Source organism: Homo sapiens, chromosome 2 (genome assembly GCF_000001405.40).
Source record: "Homo sapiens chromosome 2, GRCh38.p14 Primary Assembly".
Classification (NCBI taxonomy): domain Eukaryota; kingdom Metazoa; phylum Chordata; class Mammalia; order Primates; family Hominidae; genus Homo; species Homo sapiens.
Window position 1 is genome coordinate 96246430 of NC_000002.12, and position 19597 is coordinate 96266026.

The window sequence follows — 19597 nt, forward strand, 5'->3', positions numbered from 1 at the left end:
GAGACAGAGCTGGTGTAACCAAGGCTCTGTTTCCCCCACGGTTTGAGAGTGGGTGAGCCTGACTTCAAGGCCCAGCTCTGTTCAAAGATAGGACACTGATTTTCTTCAAGAAGGCAGAGCTGGTGAGTGGCCTCATGTCTTACCATCATGGAAAGGCGAGGGCTGGGGGAGAGAGAAGGGGCAGCCAAGGCCTCAGAGTGGTGTAGGCCTCACCCTTGTGCTCACATGTCCCAACCACTGCCAGCGGTGCCACCTCTGAATCCCAGACCCCACATGTAACCATCCTCTACCTGGACCACAGGAGGAAGCTCCACGTTCTTTGCCAGGGTTCAGGGTAAGGGGCATGATCTAAGTTGGGCAAAAGAGAGTCATCCTGTTACCTTAAAAAGGAGTCTAGGGTGAGCCCCAGTCTGCTGGTGGCCATCTTCACCACCTTTGGGGAGAGATGGCCTGAGCAGACACACAAAGCAAAGAGGTGGAGAGAAACTGTGTCTTTGTGTCATTGTTTGAGTCCCTGGACCCAGCCCAGTCCCCCCGACTACGCTGAACTTTTCAATTGTGGAAAACAATAAATTCCATTTAGTTAAGAAATTTTCAGTTCTGGGTCTTGCAGCTGTGAGCATTCTGACAACCTTGATGTTCCAGGCCCTCCTGGGCTAGGTCCATGAGCTAATTGCTTGCCCTGCACCTCCAGTGGGAAGGAGCTGCTCACATCAACTCAGTGTTCCCCAAAGCCACGCCCTTCCTTTCCTGCTTTCACACCACTGCCTACACCATGCTCTCATGAAGGCCTGCCCCTTCTCCAAGGCCCAGATCAAGTCTCTTCTTTAGGAAGTGTTCCTTGGCTATCACGTTTCGGTGTCATCAGGTTTCCTCTTTCCTGGTGGCTGGATTGGAAGGCCTTAGAGGGCAAGGATCATATGTGTTAGAATTTCTGCATCCTCCACAAGGCACTTGTGTTCAGTGTATTTGCTGAATGAATGTCACATTAAAAAGCGTGACCCAGCCGGGTGTGGTGGCTCATGCCTGTAATCCCAGCTTTTTGGGAGGCCAAGGCAGGCGGATCACCTGAGGTCAGGAGTTCAAGACCAGCTTGGCAAACATGGTGAAACCCCATTCTCTACTAAAAAATACAAAAATTAGCCAGGCATGGTGGTGTGCGCCTGTAATTCCAGCTACTCAGGAGGCTGAGGCAGGGGAATTGCTTGAACCCAGAGGTGGAGATTGCAGTGAGCCAAGATCGCACCACTGCACTCCAGCACTCCAGAGCGCACTCTTGTCCACTCGCAACAGAGTGAGACTCCACCTTAAAAAAAAATAAAAACAACAACACGACTCCTGGCCTAATGGACTGATAAGGTAAACAAGAAGAAAGACACAGGCCTGTACACATAATAGAAATTGGGTGTGTACCAGCCTGGGCAACATGGCAAGGCTCTGTCTCTGCAAAAAATAAATTAGCCAGAGGTAGTGGCTCACACCTGCAGTCCCAGCCACTCAGGTGGCTAAGGTGGGAGGATCACTTGAGCCTGGGAGGTTGAGGCTGCAGTGAGCCATGATTGCAGCACTACACTCCAGCCTCCAGACAGAGCAAGATCCTGTCAAAGAAAAGAAAGAAAAAAGAAAAGAAAAGGAAGGAAGGGAGGGAAAGAAAGGAAAGAAAGAGAAAGAGAAAGAAAAAGAGAAAAAAAGGAAAGAAATTGCATGTGTGTACATGCAAGCAAATTTCCCATACCCCGTTAGAATATGAGGAAGCAAACAGATGGAAAGAATCAATAACGGGGCAGGGCGCAGTGGCTCACCCCTGTAACCCCAGCACTTTGGGAGGCCAAGACGGGCGGATCACCTGAGGTCAGGAGTTTGAGACCAGCCTGGCCAACATGGCAAAACCCCATCTCTACTAAAAATATAAAAATTAGCTAGGCATGGTGGTGCATGCCTGTAATCCTAACTACTTGGGAGGCTGAGGTTGGAGAATTGTTTGAATCGGGGAGGTGGAGGTTGCAGTGAGCCGAGATCTTGCCACTGCACTCCAGCCTGAGCAACAAAGTGAGACTCCGTCTCAAAAAATAAATAAGAAAAAATGAATGAGACATTCTTCTTTTATTAAAATAAAACCCATCCACCACCCCAAGGTTATTCCAGAAGGAAACTCTCCACCAATAGTGGTGGCACTAGACATATACTGAGAGACCCCCAAGAGGGAAGTGAAGCCATGGGGGCATCTGGGGCTACATGGTCTATCTCGCTACACAAGGAGGCCCTTTACAAGGCTAGCTGCCATTTTCTACCAAGACAGAAGGACAGGAACCTTCCAAACAGGGCAGCCTGCAGGCCCTGCACCTTCAGGCCCCATTCTCAGACACCTGTACAACCCCTTAAGCCAGACGGACTCACAGCTGTCTCTGGAAAGTTCTTCGTTACCTGACTCTTTAGACACAGGGTTGGCTGGAGGGGCCTCTCCCTCATCTTGTACATCTTATGAAGCCCCTTACCACCCACTGTGTTGCTGTCCCACTCAGCTGAAGGGGCTGGCCAGTCCCGCATAAACCCTCCAGCTCTGAGATCAGCCAATCTTCCCTGGGCACTGCTCTCTCCCCCAGCAAAAAAGCCAAGAATTTTCCCCAAAGCTTATGGTGAGGAACCTGTGTGTGTGTGTGTGGTGTGTGTGTGTGTGTGTGTGTGTGTTTGAGATGGAGTCTCACTCTGTCAGGCTGGAGTCCAGTGGCATGATCTCGGCTCACTGCAACCTCTGCCTCCCGGGTTCAAGTGATTCTCCTGCCTCAGCCTCCCGAGTAGCTGGGACTACAGGCACCTGCCACCATGCCTGGTTAATTTTTGTATTTTTAGTAGAGACGGGGTTTCACCATGTTGGCCAGAATGGTCTCGATCTCCTGACCTTGTGATCCACCCACCTCGGCCTCCCAAAGTGCTGGGATAATAGGCGTGAGCCACCGCACCCGGCCAGAACTGATCTTAATTCTCAAACCAGTAACCCTAATGAAGCGTCTTCGTTTCAGGTGGGCTCATTCAAAACGACATTTTCAGGCTTGGTGCAGTGGCTCAAGCCTGTAATCCCAACCCTTTGGGAAGGGAGGCAGAAGGATTGCCTGAAGCCAGTAGTTTGAGACCAGCCTGGGCAACATGGTGAGACTGTCTCTACCCACCCCCACAAAAAAAACATTTTCTCTTCTCCACAAACCTCCTGCCTCCCATTAAAATGTCACTCCCCCCAAAAAATGCAGAGGAAGAGGTAAGATTGCAGGCTATTTGAAAACAGGGGCATGAAGTTTGTCAGTTCCCTTCTGTCTCCCCATAGCATCTGTGTTCCATTAGTGTAGTGGCTGAGAGCGTGGATATTTCAGGCAAGATGCCAGCTGAAGATTCTCTAGTCATCTTGGGAAAGCCGCCCTGCCCCAGATGCACCACCTCTTCCTGTGTCCCAGGGTCCTCTCCTTGCGGCCCTTCACATCCCATGGCTTCTCGTGTGCGGGCCCCTCTTCGCCTGTGCAGTTGATGCCACCTTCCAGCTGCCACGTGACAGGTGGGCAGAGACTGGGGCTCCCGCATTCCCAACTCCAGCACCTGGCTGAGACACTGGGCCCTGGGATTGACTGTGACCGCCCTCTTCCCCTTTGGCAGGTCCTGTCTCCCACTTTCAACACCCTCACTTAAGGCCAGGCAGAACCCTTCCTACTGTCACCAGTCATTAAAATAAGGTTGCATCCCTCCCTTCCCTTCTGAAAATCCTTCCTGGGCTCCTTCTGCTGTTAGTGCCTTAAATGAGCACCCCTCACCTTTCTAACCTCGGCTCTTACCACCTCCTGGCCACCAGTGTGCTTTTGCTCTTGCCATTCTCTCAGCAGGAGTGTCCCTATCCCAGTTCACTCCCACATCAAGTGTGGCTCAAGCTGCGTCCTCCAGGAAGCCTTTCATTATCACTCAGGTCAGAACTGGCTCCCTTCTGGGCACAGGACTTTTCCGAGCCGGCCGCCCACTTCACTCTGCCTTTCTGTGGACAAGTCCATCTCCTGAACTAAGGACATAAAATCCTTGCAGACAGGGTCCTGTCCGTCACTGTATATTTCATGGTGCCTAATGGTGCTTTGTCTGAATGGACATGAAATGAGAACACACTCCCAGCTTCCAAGAAAGATGTGTATTCTCCCTAACAACAACAAAAGAGACCTAAATGGGCTGCTCCCTGAAGAGAGCCCTCAGCTCTTTTACCGTGATGCACACTCGGGGCTGGGTGTAGGCTGTGTGATCAAATGTATGAAGGAAGAAGGAACGGAGAGAACGTGGGCAATCAAGGCCTGGCACTGCCCTACAGGAGGCTTACAGGTCACACTCCCAGAACTGTCTCTATCCCCATGCCTCTCCTAGTAAGATTCATTACCTATGGTTTCAAAGAAAGTGCAGTTTCTAGGGAGTGAAGGAACACGTGAAATACAGAAAATAAAGACAGAAAAACACACAAATTATTAAATAAAATTTAAACAATAGAGGGAAAAAAAGTGTAGTTTGTTCTGCAAGCCACAGCCCAAAGAAGTCTATTTCCTCCCACAGGATGGCTAGAGTTTAGGAGCCACGTTCTCCTCTATAGCTCACCAGAGGATGCAGCCTGAAGAGCTCAGGGTTTGAAGGTTGGGCCTTGGGCGGGAGTCAGCTACTATTTCTAGCTGTTCTAGAAAGACCTAGAAACTTCCTGTGTGAAAACAGGATTAGGAAGCTCTGGGGGTGAAAATGCCATGCACGGAGCTGGCCCATGCCAAGTCCCTTCTAACTATTTTAAATTACATCTTTGGCCAGGCACGGTGGTTCATGCCTATAATCCCAGCACTTTGGGAGGCCAAGGTGGGTGGATAACCTGAGGTTAGGAGTTCCAGACCAGCCTGGCCAACATGGTGAAACCCTGTCTCTACTAAAAATACAAAAAAATTATCTGGGCATAGTGGCGCATGCCTGTAATCCCAGCTACTCAGGAGGCTGAGGCAGGATAATCGCTTGAACCCAGGAGGCAGAGGTTGCAGTGAGCTGAGATCATGCCACGTTACACTCCAGCCCGGGTGACAGAGCGAGACTCTTGTCTCAAAAACAAGAAAAAGAAAAAAAAATACAGCCTCATCAACATCTCCTGCTTCTCTGAGACAAAGGGAACAAACCAAATCAGGAAAATCGTGACAGAAAAATGACAGGCAGCCATTGTCATTTCCATTCTTATTCGTGGTTTCTGGTTTTTTTGGTTTTGTTTTCCCTTTTAATTTTTTTCTAGAAAAAAAAACACAACCCGGGGAATTTATATGACAAACTATCAGTGTCAGGATGGCAGAGGGAAAGAGAAAGAAGAGGAAGGCCAAAGACATGGGGAGTGAATAAAAAGTGGGTTCCGGATCGTGCGGAACAGTCCACAGGGTCATTTACAGGTCCTCAGGAGATGACCAGTCCCTTTGGCATGCAGGTCCAGTGCCTGGTCTTCTGGTCTGCCTGCTCAGACACCCAAGGGCAGAGAGAGCTGGCCACAAGTAAACCTGCCAATGACAAACTCAGGACTTAACAGAAAGACTTAGTTCAGTTCCTTGGCTTTGTGCTCAGGCATCACATAGCAGGCAGCCTGCAGCCTTTCTTGCCTGAGAGAAGAGTCCAGAAGAGCAGGAGAGTCACCTTTGAACACACTCTGGCATCACAGCAGTGAACTGCAAGCAGCCACTGGCTCGTGTGCAGATGTGGCCCTCACCACCCATGCAGGCATCTGTCCGGACATCCCCAGTCAATCTGGCCAAAGGATGGGACATGACAGTCCCTTTCTAGCCACAGCTTCATAGTGTTGTCCATTCTCCAGTCTTGCTCAAACTATCTATCACCTTAAAGGTTGGAAGAGATTGGAATCCATTTCCTTTTCAGCTCAGCAGGGGACACTGATTCCCAAGAAGCAAGTAACTTAACAAGGACAGGTTGGCCATCTGGATCTACACTGAAGGTCTTTCAAGTTTCATCCACTTTATGCCCAGATCTCAGGGCAGAAAATTCAGCCAGACCCAGAGCAAACAAGGTGACCAGAGTGATGGCTGAGCAAGAAAGTCCCAGCAGCACACTGCAAGACCAGAGTACATTCAAGAGGGGAGAGGGCACGTGGCAAGCTGGAGTCCCGAGTCAGAGTCTAGGGCAGCACTGGGTCTGAAGGACACAGCCCGGCCTGCTGGGCTGACAGTGTGGGTCTGATGCCTCACATGATGTGGCCCCACTGGTTGTATTCCTATGTGGAGGGTGGTGGGTTCCTGCCCTGTTGTGGCCCCTGTTCCTAAACTGAGGCCAGGTTCCATCTCAGTGCTGCAGTCCTGAGGAGCACCACGCTGGCCCGCCAGCCAGGCCACAGTCCTCAGCCCCTCTGGGTTCCACGAGAAGGCCCCAGGGAGTCACCGTCACTGAGAGGGAAGGGGCCAGGGAAGGGAGGCTGCATTCTACTGGGAGAGACTCGGGGAGGGACTACCATGGGCTTGGAAGGAGCTACAGCCCCAAATATTGCAGAGCCAAAAGGAATGGGATACATGTCTAAAAAGTGACAACAGTCTTGTCCCTATTTTAAAAACAGAATATTGTTGCTGTTGCCTGGTTTCATTTTTTTCCTTTTAAAACCACTCATATTTAAAAGGTGAAGGGCTGGGAGATGTAGTCCCCTTCACTCTGGTCCTTGATAGGCACCAGGGGGCCTCAGTCTCACGCTGGCTCCTGCTCTCCTTGCCTGGGCTCCAGCCACATGAAGCAAGGGCAGAGAGGGTTGCAACTGCTCTGCCTTCCCAACAGCGATTCCCTCTCCCCATAAAACCAGGGCACACGTGAGGAGAAGTCCAAAGAGTAAAGTGCACAGAACTCCCCGGAGCAGGTGGCCTGGGGGCGGGTCACTCCGAGAAGGAAGGGGTCTGGGGGGCGTCAGCCCAGAGCTACAGCTGTGGAGCAAACACTGATCCCTGTGAAGTGAGCCTCCAGGGCACAGTCCCCTTTCCCTTGGGCCCTTTGACACTTGTTTTTGGGACTGTCCGCTCTCAGCAGCTCTCCAAGGAAAGTCTCGGTCCCAAAGATATCGCCCATGCTGGAGGAAACTTGGATGACCTTCCCTGGCTGGTAATGACTCGTGAATGTGAAGGGGGCAGGATGTGGCAGGAGGGAAAGAGTACATTATAGAAAACCAGTGGACCTCCGGTTCTGAGAGCAGGGATACTTGGATGACCCTAAAGGCAGAGTCTCTCCTGGGGAAGGTTTGGAGAAGATGGTCAGGATCCTACCAGTGAGGCCTGCTGGGGAAAGGAGCTCCTCTGGGTGCGAGAGGAGCTGCAGAGTTGAGGGAGGGGCTGCCGAGGAAGAGAGCCCAGGGCTGGCATTAGGGTGTGTAAGCAGGGGGTGGCTGGAACTGGTTGATGACCTCATATTCCGCCGGGTAGGGCTCGTTCTCTTCCATCTCTGAGAGCAGCTCCAGCGCCTGCTCCTCTTCCTCTGTGGGGTAGTGGCGCAGGAGGTTGGCTGCCGTGGCCAGGATTGAGGCTCCACCAGCTCCTGCCACCAGGTAGAAGCTAACGGCGAAGGTGACATAGACCTGGGATCCATGGTACTTCTTATGCTGCTGCTGCTGGGCCAAGATGAGTTCAGAAGCCCAATAAGAAAAGCCAATGACGGTGGCACACTGCAGAACTAGGAGACAGAGGGACAGCACAGAAGGGGAATTAGTGAGCACTCCACAGCTAGGATGCTTGAGGACCCAATCACAGCCTCTCTACCCAAACCCCATTCTCAGAGAACCTGCCTGGCCCCAGACTCTGCAAGGAGGAGCTCTCTTGACCATGGGATTCCTGGCCTGAGGTTGGGGACAGCAGTCTGACCTGATCTAGGCCAGTCAGATTCCATCTGTCTTAAGGAGCAAATAGGGTCATGCAGCTTGGGAGCTGGAGTAGGCACACCACAATTCAAACCAGCACAGCAGTGCAGGCACGAGGGAGGACAGCAGCTACATACAAGAAAAGGCGGGTCTGTAGGGAAGCAGGAAGGTGGAGAGGAGAGAATCTGACCAGGAGCTCCAGGGGAGACACGGGAGACTGCCTGGTTCCTTCTTCACTCATGTCAGGTCTGAGCTTCAAATGCCATTTTAGAGAGCTGTGAGCTTCCTTGTGGAATTTCTAGCAACATTTCCCCTCTACAGCTGGGCTGAGTGGGTTTGTGATCCTGGCAAGTTAGCAGCTAGACTGGAGCAGGCTGCTGACACCCTGACACTCTGGGAAAGACTGGAGCTTGGCACATGAGCTCCTGGAAGGGTGCCTGCTCAGAGAAACCAGAGCCCCCACCGGCAACTCAGACAGGATGCCCCCACCCTGTAGCAGTTCCTCTCCCACTGTGAGCAGGCTCACGGCTTACCCGTTAGGATATGGGCGAAGGCATAGCGACGAGTGATCTTCAGAGCAGGATGCTTCGGCCCAAAGACATCCAGAAGGAAAGCGGAGAGACTACACAGGATGCCCAGGAAACAGAAGGCGGCGATGACCCGCAGGAGCAGCACTGTCTGGGGATTCATGCAGAAATCTGTAGAGGGAGAACCAAATTTTCACGGCCCCAAGTAACACTTGGTGCAGGAAGTCCCCACCTAGAAGGAGTTTGATTCCCCTCCACCACAGTCCTGGGAGCCAGGGCAGTTCTGGAGGACGCTGTCTTAGCCCCTGCTCCTGGGTGGTCTGCAGGGTAGCTGGAGCAAATTCCACATTAGCAGAGGCCACTGCTCTCCTGTACCTCAAGTCCTTCTCTTTCCAACAGGACTAGCCTAAGTGCAGGATTCTACTTCACTGTGTATGCCATGCCCTTCTAACCATTTTTAAAGACACTGACAGTTAACCTGACATGTTAATGCATTCTGCTAAAGGATATTTTGAGCTGGCAGGAAAAGCCTGACTTTGGAGCTGAGACAGCCAGAGAGGCTAAGACCATACAGGTCAATTAATGCTGATTCTCCATTTACTCACTCATTCATTCCCTTTTTGTTCCAAAAAGAAGTTGAACTTGAAGATACTATGCTAAGTGAAATCAACCAAATGTAGGACAAATATTTTATAATTCCACTCATATGAGATACCTAGAATAATCAGTTTATAGAGACAGAAAATATAATGGTGGTTGCCAGCAGGTAGGGAGAGGGGAGAACAGGAAGTTATCATTTAATGTGCACAAAGGTTCAGTTTGAAATGATGATAGTTTTGGAAACAGATAGTCATGATGCATGTGCTTAATATCAATGAACTCAACACTTAAAATGGTTATTAATACTTTGGGTGGCTGAGGCAGGAGGATTGCTCGAGGCCAAGAGTCTGAGATCAGCCTGGGCAACATAGTGAGACCCCGTCTCTTTGAGGAAAAAAAAAAAATTAGCTGGGCATGGTGGCGCATGCCTATAGTCTTAGCTCCTTAGGAGGCTGAGGCAAGAGGACTGCTTGCGCCCAGGAGTTACTGTAAGCTATAATCACACCACTGCACTCCAGCCTGGATGACCGAGAGAGACCCTGTCTCTTAAAAAAACAAAATATTGGCCAGGCATGGTAGCTCACGCCTGTAATCCCAGCTCTTTGGGAGGCCGAGGCGGGCAGATCACGAGGTCAGAAGATCGAGACCATCTTGGCCAACATGGTGAAACCCCGTCTCTACCAAAAATACAAAAATTAGCTGGGTGTGATCGCATGCGCCTGTAGTCCCAGCTACTCTGGAGGCTGAGGCAGAAGAATTGCTTGAACCCGGAAGGTGGAGGTTGCAGTGAGCCGAGATTGCACCCCTGCACTCCAGCCTGGTGACAGAGTGAGACTCTGTCTCAAAAAAAAAAAAAAAAATGTTGGCAGGGCACGGTGGCTCACACCTGTAATCCCACACTTTGGGAGGCCAAGGCGGGCAAAACACCTGAGGTCAGGAGTTTGAGACAAGCCTGACCAACATGGGGAAACCCTGTCTCTACTAAAAATACAAAATTAGCCGGGCGTGGTGGTGCATGCCTGTGATCCCAGCTACTTGGGAGGCTGAGGCAGGAGAATTGCTTGAACCTGGGAGATGGAGGTTGCGGTGAGCCGAGATTGCGCCTTCACACTCCAGCATGGGCAACAAGAGAGAAACTCTGTCTCAAAAAAAAAAAAAAAAAAAGTTAAAATGCTAAGTTTTATGTTATGTATATTTTACCACAATTTTAAAAAAAAGTAAAATAAAGAAAAGAGGAAGAAGGAAGTTGCGGCAGTTTAGAGAAATGTGCAGCTACAAGAAAGTATTACATAGATTAGGAAAGTTGGTAGACTATATCACATTTAGTTTAGCTCCCTCCCTGAACTCTACGAGAACAAAAGAATTCTTTTAAAAGGCAACCCACACAAAAAGAAAGGGAGGTATAAAACAAGGTTCCAAAAACTGGAAAGTAAAGGGAAATAGACCTACCTAAAAGGGACTCAGCAGACTCGGCAGAGCTGGGGACAAGCCATCAACAGGAAAAGCTAGGAAGCCACCACATTTATACCACAAAAGCCCCAGAAGCCTTGGACAGTGCCAACGTGCACACGTCAAGGGCATAAATGAAGGAAAAGGAAGAGGCTGAAAGAAAAGACACAGCACTCAAGGGGTTCCTGGGGGTCATGGTGCAGGGAGAGCCCATGACAACAACCACGCAGCAGACACACAGCAACTTGTATTTCCCTCCAGTACTTTAGCCATTCTTTAAAAAAACATTTCAACTAGACGACACTACCAGGCACAGTGGCTCACGCCTATAATCCTGGCACTTTGGGAGGCCGAGGCGGGTGGATCACCTGAGGTCAGGAGTTCGACATCAGCGTGGCCAACATGGTGAAACCCCGTCTCTACTAAAAATACAAAAATTAGCCGGCCGTGGTGGCGCGCGCCTGTAGTCCCAGCTACTCGGGGGGCTGAGGCAGGAGAATCGCTTGAACCCTGGAGACGGAGGTTGCAGTGAGCCGACATCGTGTCACTGCACTCCAGCCTGGCGACAGAGCGAGACTCCATCTCAAAAACAAAAAACAAAACAAAAAAACAAAAAACTAGATGATACTGTCTGTCTCCTTTGATAACTATGCAAACTGCAAAAGCTCCCAGAAGCATAGGGTAGAATAAAGGCTGAACCAAAAAGAAACCAGGCCATGATTAAGTATTTTAAGCTTTCATAAAAAGTAGAAATGGGGTCGGGCATGGTGGCTCACGCCTGTAATCCCAGCACTTTGGGAGGCCGAGGTGGGTGGATCGCCTGAGGTCAGCAGTTTGAGACCAGCCTGACCAATATGGTGAAACCCTGTCTCTACTAAAAATTTAAAAAATCAGCCAGGTATGGTGGCGTGCACCTGTAGTCCCAGCTACTCAGGAGGCTGAGACAGGAGAACTGCTTGAACCTGGGAGGTGGAGGTTACAGTGAGCCAAGATCACATCACTGCACTCCAGCCTTGGTGACAGAGTGACTCCGCCTCAAAAAAAAAAGTAGGAAATGGGCCTTAACTTCCTCTCCTTCTTCTGTTACAGCCACTGGCAAGTTCTTCTTTTATTTAGGCCATGGGTCACCAAGTGATTTAGGAAAATTTGGAAAGGGCTGGCAAGACTCAGGCTATATAGCGTCCTTTCCTGAACTTGATCTCAGGCTGAGAGGGTGTGGGGTGTGATCATCAATCTCTAGGGCATACCCAAATCACTGTGGCACTGGCTGAAAGCGTGTTCCCAGGTCCCCAGAGAGTCCGAGTTCTAGGTCTGGAGCAGGGCCTAGGAATCTGGATTTTAACAAGCAGCCCAGGTAATCCCCATGCAGGTGATCCAAGCCCCACACTTCAAGAAACACTGGTTCCAGACCTCAGAGGAAGGTGGACTGATGGGGGAAAGTCCAGGAACCTGGGGAGGGGACCTAAACCCAGCAAAGCTGACTCAGCCCAACAGATGCCAGCATCACAGGTTCTGGGTAGAGAGAAGCCCTGAGCCTCTAGGATTGAGCACGCATACCCTGCCTCAGGCTCAGAGTTCGCCCAGCAGAGGCTGGCTGGGCCCAGACAAGGCTCATACACCTCTGTCTGGCTTTGGGTCACCCACGAAGCAGCCCTCAGAACTATCTGTCATGATCTCTTGTCTGCTGACCATCTGTTTTGGGCCCAAGCATCCAGCCTGGGTAACTGTCTACTGCCAGAAAGCCTGCCTGTGTGTGAACCCTGCCAGCAACTGGGACCAGCCTTCATTGAACCCAGCCCTGCAGAGCCATAGTGCATGGGGCCTCACTGAAAGAAAAGCTCTAGGAGACAGGGGCTATCTCCTGGCTGTATTTTAAATCTTATTAAAAGCTAAGAGAGTTCTTCTTGGGGTCCACGTGGCATGTGGCAGGGATGGGGCAGTGTTCTTATAGTGCTTCCAAGAATAACCTACCAGAGGTCACATGCCGCTCTGCAGTAGGCCGTGTCAGATTCCACTCACATTACTGATGAGGCCAGGCAGTTGGAGTAAGAAAAGTAATATGTGCAGGCTTCAAGGAGCCTGTATTGTTTCTTTGGCTGGATGGTGAGCACAAGGATGTTCATTTGATTATCCTTAAAAATGTACATCCATGACATATACTCCTATTGTCTTATGTTTCATTATACATGAATTTTACTAGTAAGGAGACATGCACATGATAAAAAGCTTCCAAGAGGACATCCCTCCCCTTGCGGATGTCCACCTGCTCCTCTCCAAAGGCAAATATTGTTGGAGGGGCCTTGTATACCCCTCCTGGAACAGCCTGTGCACACAGATGGGTGAAGTGCCCCCCTGGGGGATTTACCACACAGCTCAGATGAGGAGTCGGGGGCTCCAGAAGGTGAAGTGGCTTCCTCCAGGCCACACGCTGCAGAGCTAGATTCCAAACCATGATCAGGCTCCCCTACACTGTGCTGCTCGGAATCACTAAGTACCAGACTCGGCCACTGTATTTTTCCCTGGAGATAATCAATCAATTCCTAAAGAGTTGTGCGTGAATGAGGGGTCAGAAGCTAACAGGAATACTGTTGGAGCCATCCTCAGAGCCAGCTGCTAAGCTCACTAGAGGAACAGCTTGAAGCAATGAAATCTCTCTAAGAAGCAAAAAAGGTTTGGGTCATTAAGTCCTCACATGGGGAATTATTGGGCAAAACCTGCCAGGCATGGTGTCTAAGCTCCTGCAGCATTGCAACCATCAGAGCCTGCTCTAGGAAGTGGTCAGGACACCGGAAAGGCTTGGGACCTGGCGCCGAATCCTAGCTCTAGCAGAGACTGTGTTACTTTGAGCAAGTCCCTTGAGTGCGCTGGACCTCTGTTCTCTCATCTATCAAATGAAAACAATAACATCTGCCCCACCCACCACCAGGGCATGCTGGGTCAGCTGACACCGTGCCCATGAAAGAGCAGCCACCTGTGCTGTTATTAACCAGAGGCTGTTTCAGCTGGGCCAGTGTGTCACCTCAGCATGCCTTTCCTTCTTCTACCAAGACTTCCTTGACCACACGTCAGCCCGTGTGGACCAAGGCCTACTAAAGCCAGACTAAGGGCCTACCCTACAAGTATGACAATATGATAGAGAGAAGAGACTTTTGACCTAAAACTCCAATAGGTTTTGTTTCAATATAACTGCCTTTCCCCACTCCAAAGCTGTGAGTAAACCCTCAGGGTTAGTGAGAAAACCAAATATGAAATTCCCTTTGGGTAACGTTAACAGATACCCCAGGGGCCTGCCCCATGTAACAGGTGGGTTTTCCTCAGAGGGTCTCAGAGCACACCGGAAGAACAGGCAGTTATCCTAGACAGGCTTGGAGCCCAGCTCAGAGACTCTTCTGGAGTCAGTATCTCAATGTCTTTCTCTCCTCCCTTCCTAGACGTCGGTACAGCAGGGAAGGCAACAAGCACCTGCTCCCATGAGGGGATTGCTAAAGAAAACCCCTGAAGGTTATGTATGTAGGATTTTATTCGAGAGAGAAATGGCATGCAACGCAGGACCCTAACTTGAAATTCAAGCCAGTGGTGCAGTCCACGATGCCCTGGCTAGACACAGAACACCTCCTACCTTCCAGCTGTGCTCTGGCCTGTTGATTTTGGTAAACACTGCTTGGCGGTGCCCTCTAGTCATCAGGGAAGTAGGCAGCTGTAATAGGATCCCATGGAACTGACTTTGCTCAAGGTCACTGGTGAGTCACCAGGCTAGATTTGTTTTGAAGGTCCTGCCTCTTCCTGTCTATCTGCCCATTGCTCTAACCACTCCTGACCCAAACAGTCTGCAGGCAGAAAGGCTTAAAAGGACTTCTGTCCCACCCCGCCTCCCTTCTTGCTGGAGTCCCTCTGAATTAGAGACACTTCCCCAATGCCCCAATCCCTCTTTATGCATCTGTGCAACCTGCTCAGCGTCTCCTCACTGTGACCTTTTTAGCTTCCAGACAGGCCTGCGACACAGGCCTCTTAACAGAGCCCTCTAGTGCCCAGCCAGGTTATCCCACAGACACCAACAGGCCCCGCAGGGCCTGGCAGTGTCAGCTGCCCCAGTCACCACCTATCAGGCACACAGGCTCTCCCTGGAAGGCCCTTGATCTTCCAGTGGCTGCTGTCAATTGTGATTCACCTGACTTCTACTCCCCAACTTCCTCATTCTCCAAAGATGCTTCCTGGGGCTGTTGCCAGTGCCCTTTGGTGGCCACACTTGAGAGGCAGAAAGGCTCAGAAGAAATGACTATCTGCGGCCCCTCTTTCTGGGGTCTAGAGGTGTGAGTCTATCTCCACCCAGGGCCAGGTTGAGAGCTGTGTGAGAAGCAGGCACCGCTTGCAGGGGCAGTGGAGAAAACCCAGGATGAGGTCTTTTTTTTTTTTTTTTAAAGGAAGGGTCTCACTCTGTCACCCAGGCTGGAGTGCAGAGGCACGACGATAGTTCACTGCAGCCTTGAACTCCTGGACTCAAGTGATCCTGCTGGCCTCCTGCTTCAGCCTCCCAAAGTGCTGAGATTACAGGAGTGAACCACCACACCCAGCCCAGGATGGGTTCTTTGGAGCCAGCTTTCATTGGCTAAAGCCTCTGAAGCTTTGTGAATGACAATGGGAGAGTGGCTTTGCCCTGGGATCACCAACTAAAGCCTCAACACTGAGGCGATGAAGTTATGACAAAAAGCACAGCTTTGGCTGGGCTTATGATAAAACTCAACTAGAATAGGAAAGTGATAAGCCTCAGGCAGCTTTGATGGGAAATAAACTCGGAGCTCACTAAGGTGTTGCAGTAAGAGTATGGACTTTGGAGTCAATGTCCACTCAGATTAGCTGAGCAAACTACCTAGCTTCCCTGAGCTGGGACCTTTTGAAGTGGGGCTGAAACAGTACCTACCAAATAAAGATGCTGTTTAGGAGGAAAAAAGCAGGCATGGGGTGTGCTTAGCATAATGTCAAAATGTGGCACTCAGGCAGGGGCTGAGAAATGGTAAGGCTGCTCCAGGGCCTGCTGGCTGCCCAACTCCCATCACCGGCAGAGACCTGGCAGGGTCTGTTCTCCCTCTGGAAGTATCTACATGTGGCCAGGAGCGGTGGCTCATGCCTGTAATCTCAGCACTTTAGGAAGCCAAGGTGGGTGGATCACCTGAGGTCAGGAGTTTGAGATCAGCCTGGTCAACAAGGTGAAACCTCATCTCTACGAAAAGTACAAAAATTAGCTGGGCATGGTGGAGCACCTGTAATTCCAACTACTCGTGAGGCTGAGACAGGAGAATTGCTTGAACCCGGGAGGCGGAGGTTGCAGTGAGCTGAGATGGCGCCGCTGCACTCCAGCCTGGGTGACAGAGCAAGAGTCTGTCTCATTTAAAAAAAAAAAAAAAAAAACTCTATATGCACCACATCTGTGCTTGACAGCTCTGCTCCCTCTTGAGATGTGGAATACTCCAGGCTCTCAGGTCAGGATATCTGTTAGGCCCTGAGGATCAGCACAGTCACACAGGATACTACATGTCTGAAGGCCCACTGGGTACCAAAAAACCAGTAGGTACAAAGAAAAGGGAGAGAAGATGCAATCAAGGACTTCCGGATTCCTTACTGATTCTTCTGTGATAGCTCATGAGGCACCACTGCCAACTCTCCTATTAATGGGCACAAACTGCTCTTAGGAGATGGCCACAGGCAAGCAAGTAGAAACTATACACAGGTTAAGGTCTCTAAATATGTGAGCAAATGTAATGTAAAGGTTAAGAAAACATGCTTTGCAAAAGACAAAACGGAGCCTGAATAATTTCTTTCTTTTTAATTTTTGAGATGGAGTCTCACTCTGTAGCCCAGGCTGGAGTGCAGTAGTGTGATCTGGGCTCACTGCAACCTCACCTCCCAGGTTCAAGCGATTCTCCTGCCTCAGCCTCCTGGGTAGTTGAGGCACCAGCCACTAGGCCTGGCTAATTTTTGTATTTTTAGTTGAGATGGGGTTTCACCATGTTGGCCAGGCTGATCTTGAACTCCTGACCTCAGGTGATCCATCCGCCTTGGCCTCCCAAAGTACTGGGATTACAGGTGTGAGCCTCCATGCCTGGCCTGGCCCGAATAATTTCTTAGAAAGGGTAAATACACATGTGAACAAAGAAGAACCTGCACCAAGAATTTACTTTTTTTTTTTTTTTTGAGATGGAGTCTTGCTCTGCTCTGTTGCCCAGGCTGGAGTGCAGTGGTGTGATCTTGGGCTCACTGCAACTCCTCTACTTCCTGGGTTCAAGCGATTCGCCTGCCTCAGCCTTCAGAGTATCTGGGACTACAGGCGTGTGCCACCACACCCAGCTAATTTTTGTATTTTTAGTAGAGACAGGGTTTCTTTCACCATGTTAGCCAAGCTGGTCTCCAACTCTTGACCTCAGGCAATCCACCCGCCTCGGCCTCCCAAAGTGCTGGGATCAGAAGTGTGAGCCAGTTCCTGGCCTTTCTTTTTTTTTTTTTTTTTTTGAGATGGAGTTTCGCTCTTGTTGCCCAGGCTGGAGCGCAATGGCGCGATCTCAGCTCACTGCAACCTCGGCCTCCCAAGTTCAAGCGATTCTCCTGCTTCAGCCTCCCAAGTAGCTGGAATTACAGATGCCTGCCACCACGCCCGGCTCAAAAATTTACTTTTATTTTTAACATGCCTTCGACAAGGATGCACACCAAAGTGAAATAATTATGAGATTGCTCCTTATGACAGCTGAAGTAAAACAAAGGATAAAAACTATAAATGACACGGCATCATTTTATATTGGCATCAACAGAGGTGGGGTAGTCCCAGCTCTGCCACCCTAAACTGGGTAGCCTTGGGGAGATCCTTCATTTTTCTGAGCCACAGCTAAGCACACCCCATGCAGTGCTAGATTTCGGAGATCTAGCTTTCTAGATCTGATGGGTCTAGTGGTGGGAAGGTGGTATGTGTGCTTCAAAGAAAGCAAGTACAGGGCAATGTGCTAAAAGAAAAACCACCAAGACTCACTCAAGCTTAATGCTCTTTGTGCCATTAGCAACATGACAGAGAAAAGGCTGCATATAAGGCCTCTGTCGTGTGCATAACTTTGGCTTTAATGAGCCAACCCAGCAAAGAGTACCATTAAGGTGAAATCTGGAAACAACCAGTTGTCCCCAACCTTCTACAAAATCACCCTACAGCTTCTAAAACTCAAGAGAGATGCAAAACAGTAAGAGAACACTCAGAGAAAGGCAACATTTGGCCACAAGGATGAGGCTTTTCAGCCTAGACCTGCAGAAGCAGAGTATGGTCCGATGCACAGCGGGGAACTTGGACCTTTTCACCAAATCCCAGTGCCTGAATTCTTCAGGAGGTAACACGCAGATATCTAACAGGAAGTGCTTCTGATAGGCGGTGCAGTAAACATCTGGAATGCATCACAGCCAGGGAATAGCACAGACAGGATAGCACAGAGAGGATATAAGACCTTCAAGATGGCTCAAAAGACCTTGGGGTTGATGAACTATGCTGTTACTAAGGACTGTTTGGGGTACATTGATCATTGTTAGGGTAAAAAGCAGGTGATACAGTCCAGTCCTGTCCTCACACTTCACAATTTTTACTGGAGACAAGAATGGGCAGGATAAACTATGGGGCCCATAGGACCCTCCCATCGTCTGCTGTCTATCTGGCCGGAAAGCATGATGATGAACAAAGCAACCTTGCCTCTGTCAGGCACACCTATAATGGTTCCAAGAGCCACATTCCGACTGTTGTACTGCGGGTGGCAATGGAACGGTCTTCCGATTACCTAAAATGCCACAGATTCCCTTCTTCTCTAATACGCATCCGATTACCATAGAACTCTAAGATATCTTTTAAAACCTAGTCATATTAAAAGTTCCTTTTTCTCCATTAATCAGTCTGCCCCAAAGAAGCTTTTCCGTATTTCACAGGATCCTTAGAAGAGGCCAGCTAACTGTGATACCTAGCACCCTTATCTTTTCTCGATACACAGCGTCCTTCCTCCAGCAGAATCCTAAAATAGCAGCAGTCCGGATTAACATGGCTGTGAGGAGTAGGTGCTTAGCTGAATAACATCAGAATTAATGAGGGGCCGGACCCCAAACAGAGCCACCTGGTGGGCATGAACACCAGGCAGTTATGGGGCCGTTTCCTTCAACCAAGTGTCTGGTCCCTGGCTATCTCTGCTTCAGCCAGAACACATTCTGTCCCCCACCGAGGCTTTAAGGGCCAGCGCGCAGCACCCTCACCTTTCAGCAGGTCCGGGTGCACATAGCCCAACACGTCGGAGACCCCCAGCTCCTGGCGCGAACAGGTGCCTCCGTGGATGTGCAACCAGGCGGGCTCGGCGAGGGCAGTGCACAGCGCCGTGATAGACAGGGCGCCAGGCAGGGCCGAGGCCAGGCTACGCTCCGGCTGCTTGGGCAGAGCGCTGCCTCCCGGGCTCCTCCGCCGGCGCCCGCCGGGCAGCCCTGCGCCTCCGGGGGCGTACATGCCCGGGGCCGCCCGCCGTCGCTCCGCAGTCGCTGCTGGTCGCCGCCGACCTCCGCGGGGCGCGCAGAGCCTGACAGTCCGGTGGAGGATAGCAACGCTCCGGGTTCGCTGCAGGTGAAGCCGGGACTGGGCTGTCAGGGTTGACACCAGAGGATAGGGGGGTGGGACCCGGGGCTGACGGAGACGGGGAGGGCTGCGGGAATTCGGGGGGCGGAGACAGGAGACTCCGGAATGGGACTGCGGGACGACAACCGAAGAGGGCCAGGGGCCAGATGGGGTCTGGGCAGACTCGAGTGGGGGGCGGAGGGATCGGGGATCGGCTACTGCTAGAGCAAAGACCCGGAGTCAGGGTCTCAGCCAGAGGATGCCGAGGGGCGGAGGACCGGGCTGGGCCGCGGGGATCGGGGACCCGTGATCTGGGACCGGCGGTTTGGGGTGCGACCTGTGCGCAGAAAAGACCCTCCCCACGCCGCCCACTGTTCCTCACCAGTCAGCAGGCCCCAGGGCTGGGATGGTGCTGCTCAGCCCAGTCACGGGCTTCTCGGCTGCCGGGGGCCGAGCGTTCCCAGGCCCCAATCCCGCAACGCCCGGACAGACCCGGGGCCGATGCACTTCCGGCTTCCTCCTCCTCTGCCTCCGCCTCCT

The 19597-nt window shown here is 51.0% G+C and overlaps 1 protein-coding gene across 4 annotated transcripts, besides 8 other annotated features; it reads right to left on the bottom strand.

The window, feature by feature from the left end:
* TMEM127 (transmembrane protein 127) lies at positions 2085 to 19568 on the bottom strand. Of its 4 annotated transcripts, none has more exons than NM_001193304.3 (4): positions 19440 to 19568; positions 18709 to 19060; positions 8404 to 8568; positions 2085 to 7686 (listed from the first exon to the last, which is right to left on the bottom strand). In NM_001193304.3, the coding sequence occupies exons 2-4, from the start codon at positions 18950 to 18952 to the stop codon at positions 7379 to 7381; spliced, it is 717 nt and encodes a 238-aa protein (NP_001180233.1). In that variant the 5' UTR covers positions 18953 to 19060; positions 19440 to 19568; the 3' UTR covers positions 2085 to 7378. The 4 variants fall into 4 exon arrangements, with proteins under 4 accessions (NP_001180233.1, NP_060319.1, NP_001394212.1 ...); NM_017849.4 differs by having other exon boundaries at positions 18709 to 19083; NM_001407283.1 differs by lacking the exon at positions 18709 to 19060.
* Positions 11535 to 14923: an enhancer, noted in NCBI's record as "VISTA enhancer hs1919". NCBI's record gives its function as "enhancer in: heart[8/13]" and the evidence as "EXISTENCE:transgenic organism evidence [ECO:0001131][PMID:17130149]".
* Positions 11535 to 15037: a biological region, named in NCBI's record as "VISTA enhancer hs1919".
* Positions 13172 to 14105: an enhancer, noted in NCBI's record as "H3K27ac-H3K4me1 hESC enhancer chr2:96925339-96926272 (GRCh37/hg19 assembly coordinates)". NCBI's record gives its function as "activates a minimal SCP1, AML or CMV promoter by ChIP-STARR-seq in primed H9 embryonic stem cells {active_cell/tissue: H9 hESC(primed)}" and the evidence as "EXISTENCE:reporter gene assay evidence [ECO:0000049][PMID:30033119]".
* Positions 14106 to 15037: an enhancer, noted in NCBI's record as "H3K27ac-H3K4me1 hESC enhancer chr2:96926273-96927204 (GRCh37/hg19 assembly coordinates)". NCBI's record gives its function as "activates a minimal SCP1, AML or CMV promoter by ChIP-STARR-seq in primed H9 embryonic stem cells {active_cell/tissue: H9 hESC(primed)}" and the evidence as "EXISTENCE:reporter gene assay evidence [ECO:0000049][PMID:30033119]".
* Positions 14511 to 14760: an enhancer, noted in NCBI's record as "active region_16211". NCBI's record gives its function as "activates an Ori minimal core promoter by ATAC-STARR-seq in GM12878 lymphoblastoid cells {active_cell/tissue: GM12878}" and the evidence as "EXISTENCE:reporter gene assay evidence [ECO:0000049][PMID:35858748]".
* Positions 18828 to 19137: a silencer, noted in NCBI's record as "silent region_11759". NCBI's record gives its function as "represses an Ori minimal core promoter by ATAC-STARR-seq in GM12878 lymphoblastoid cells {active_cell/tissue: GM12878}" and the evidence as "EXISTENCE:reporter gene assay evidence [ECO:0000049][PMID:35858748]".
* Positions 19188 to 19397: a silencer, noted in NCBI's record as "silent region_11760". NCBI's record gives its function as "represses an Ori minimal core promoter by ATAC-STARR-seq in GM12878 lymphoblastoid cells {active_cell/tissue: GM12878}" and the evidence as "EXISTENCE:reporter gene assay evidence [ECO:0000049][PMID:35858748]".
* Positions 19408 to 19457: a silencer, noted in NCBI's record as "silent region_11761". NCBI's record gives its function as "represses an Ori minimal core promoter by ATAC-STARR-seq in GM12878 lymphoblastoid cells {active_cell/tissue: GM12878}" and the evidence as "EXISTENCE:reporter gene assay evidence [ECO:0000049][PMID:35858748]".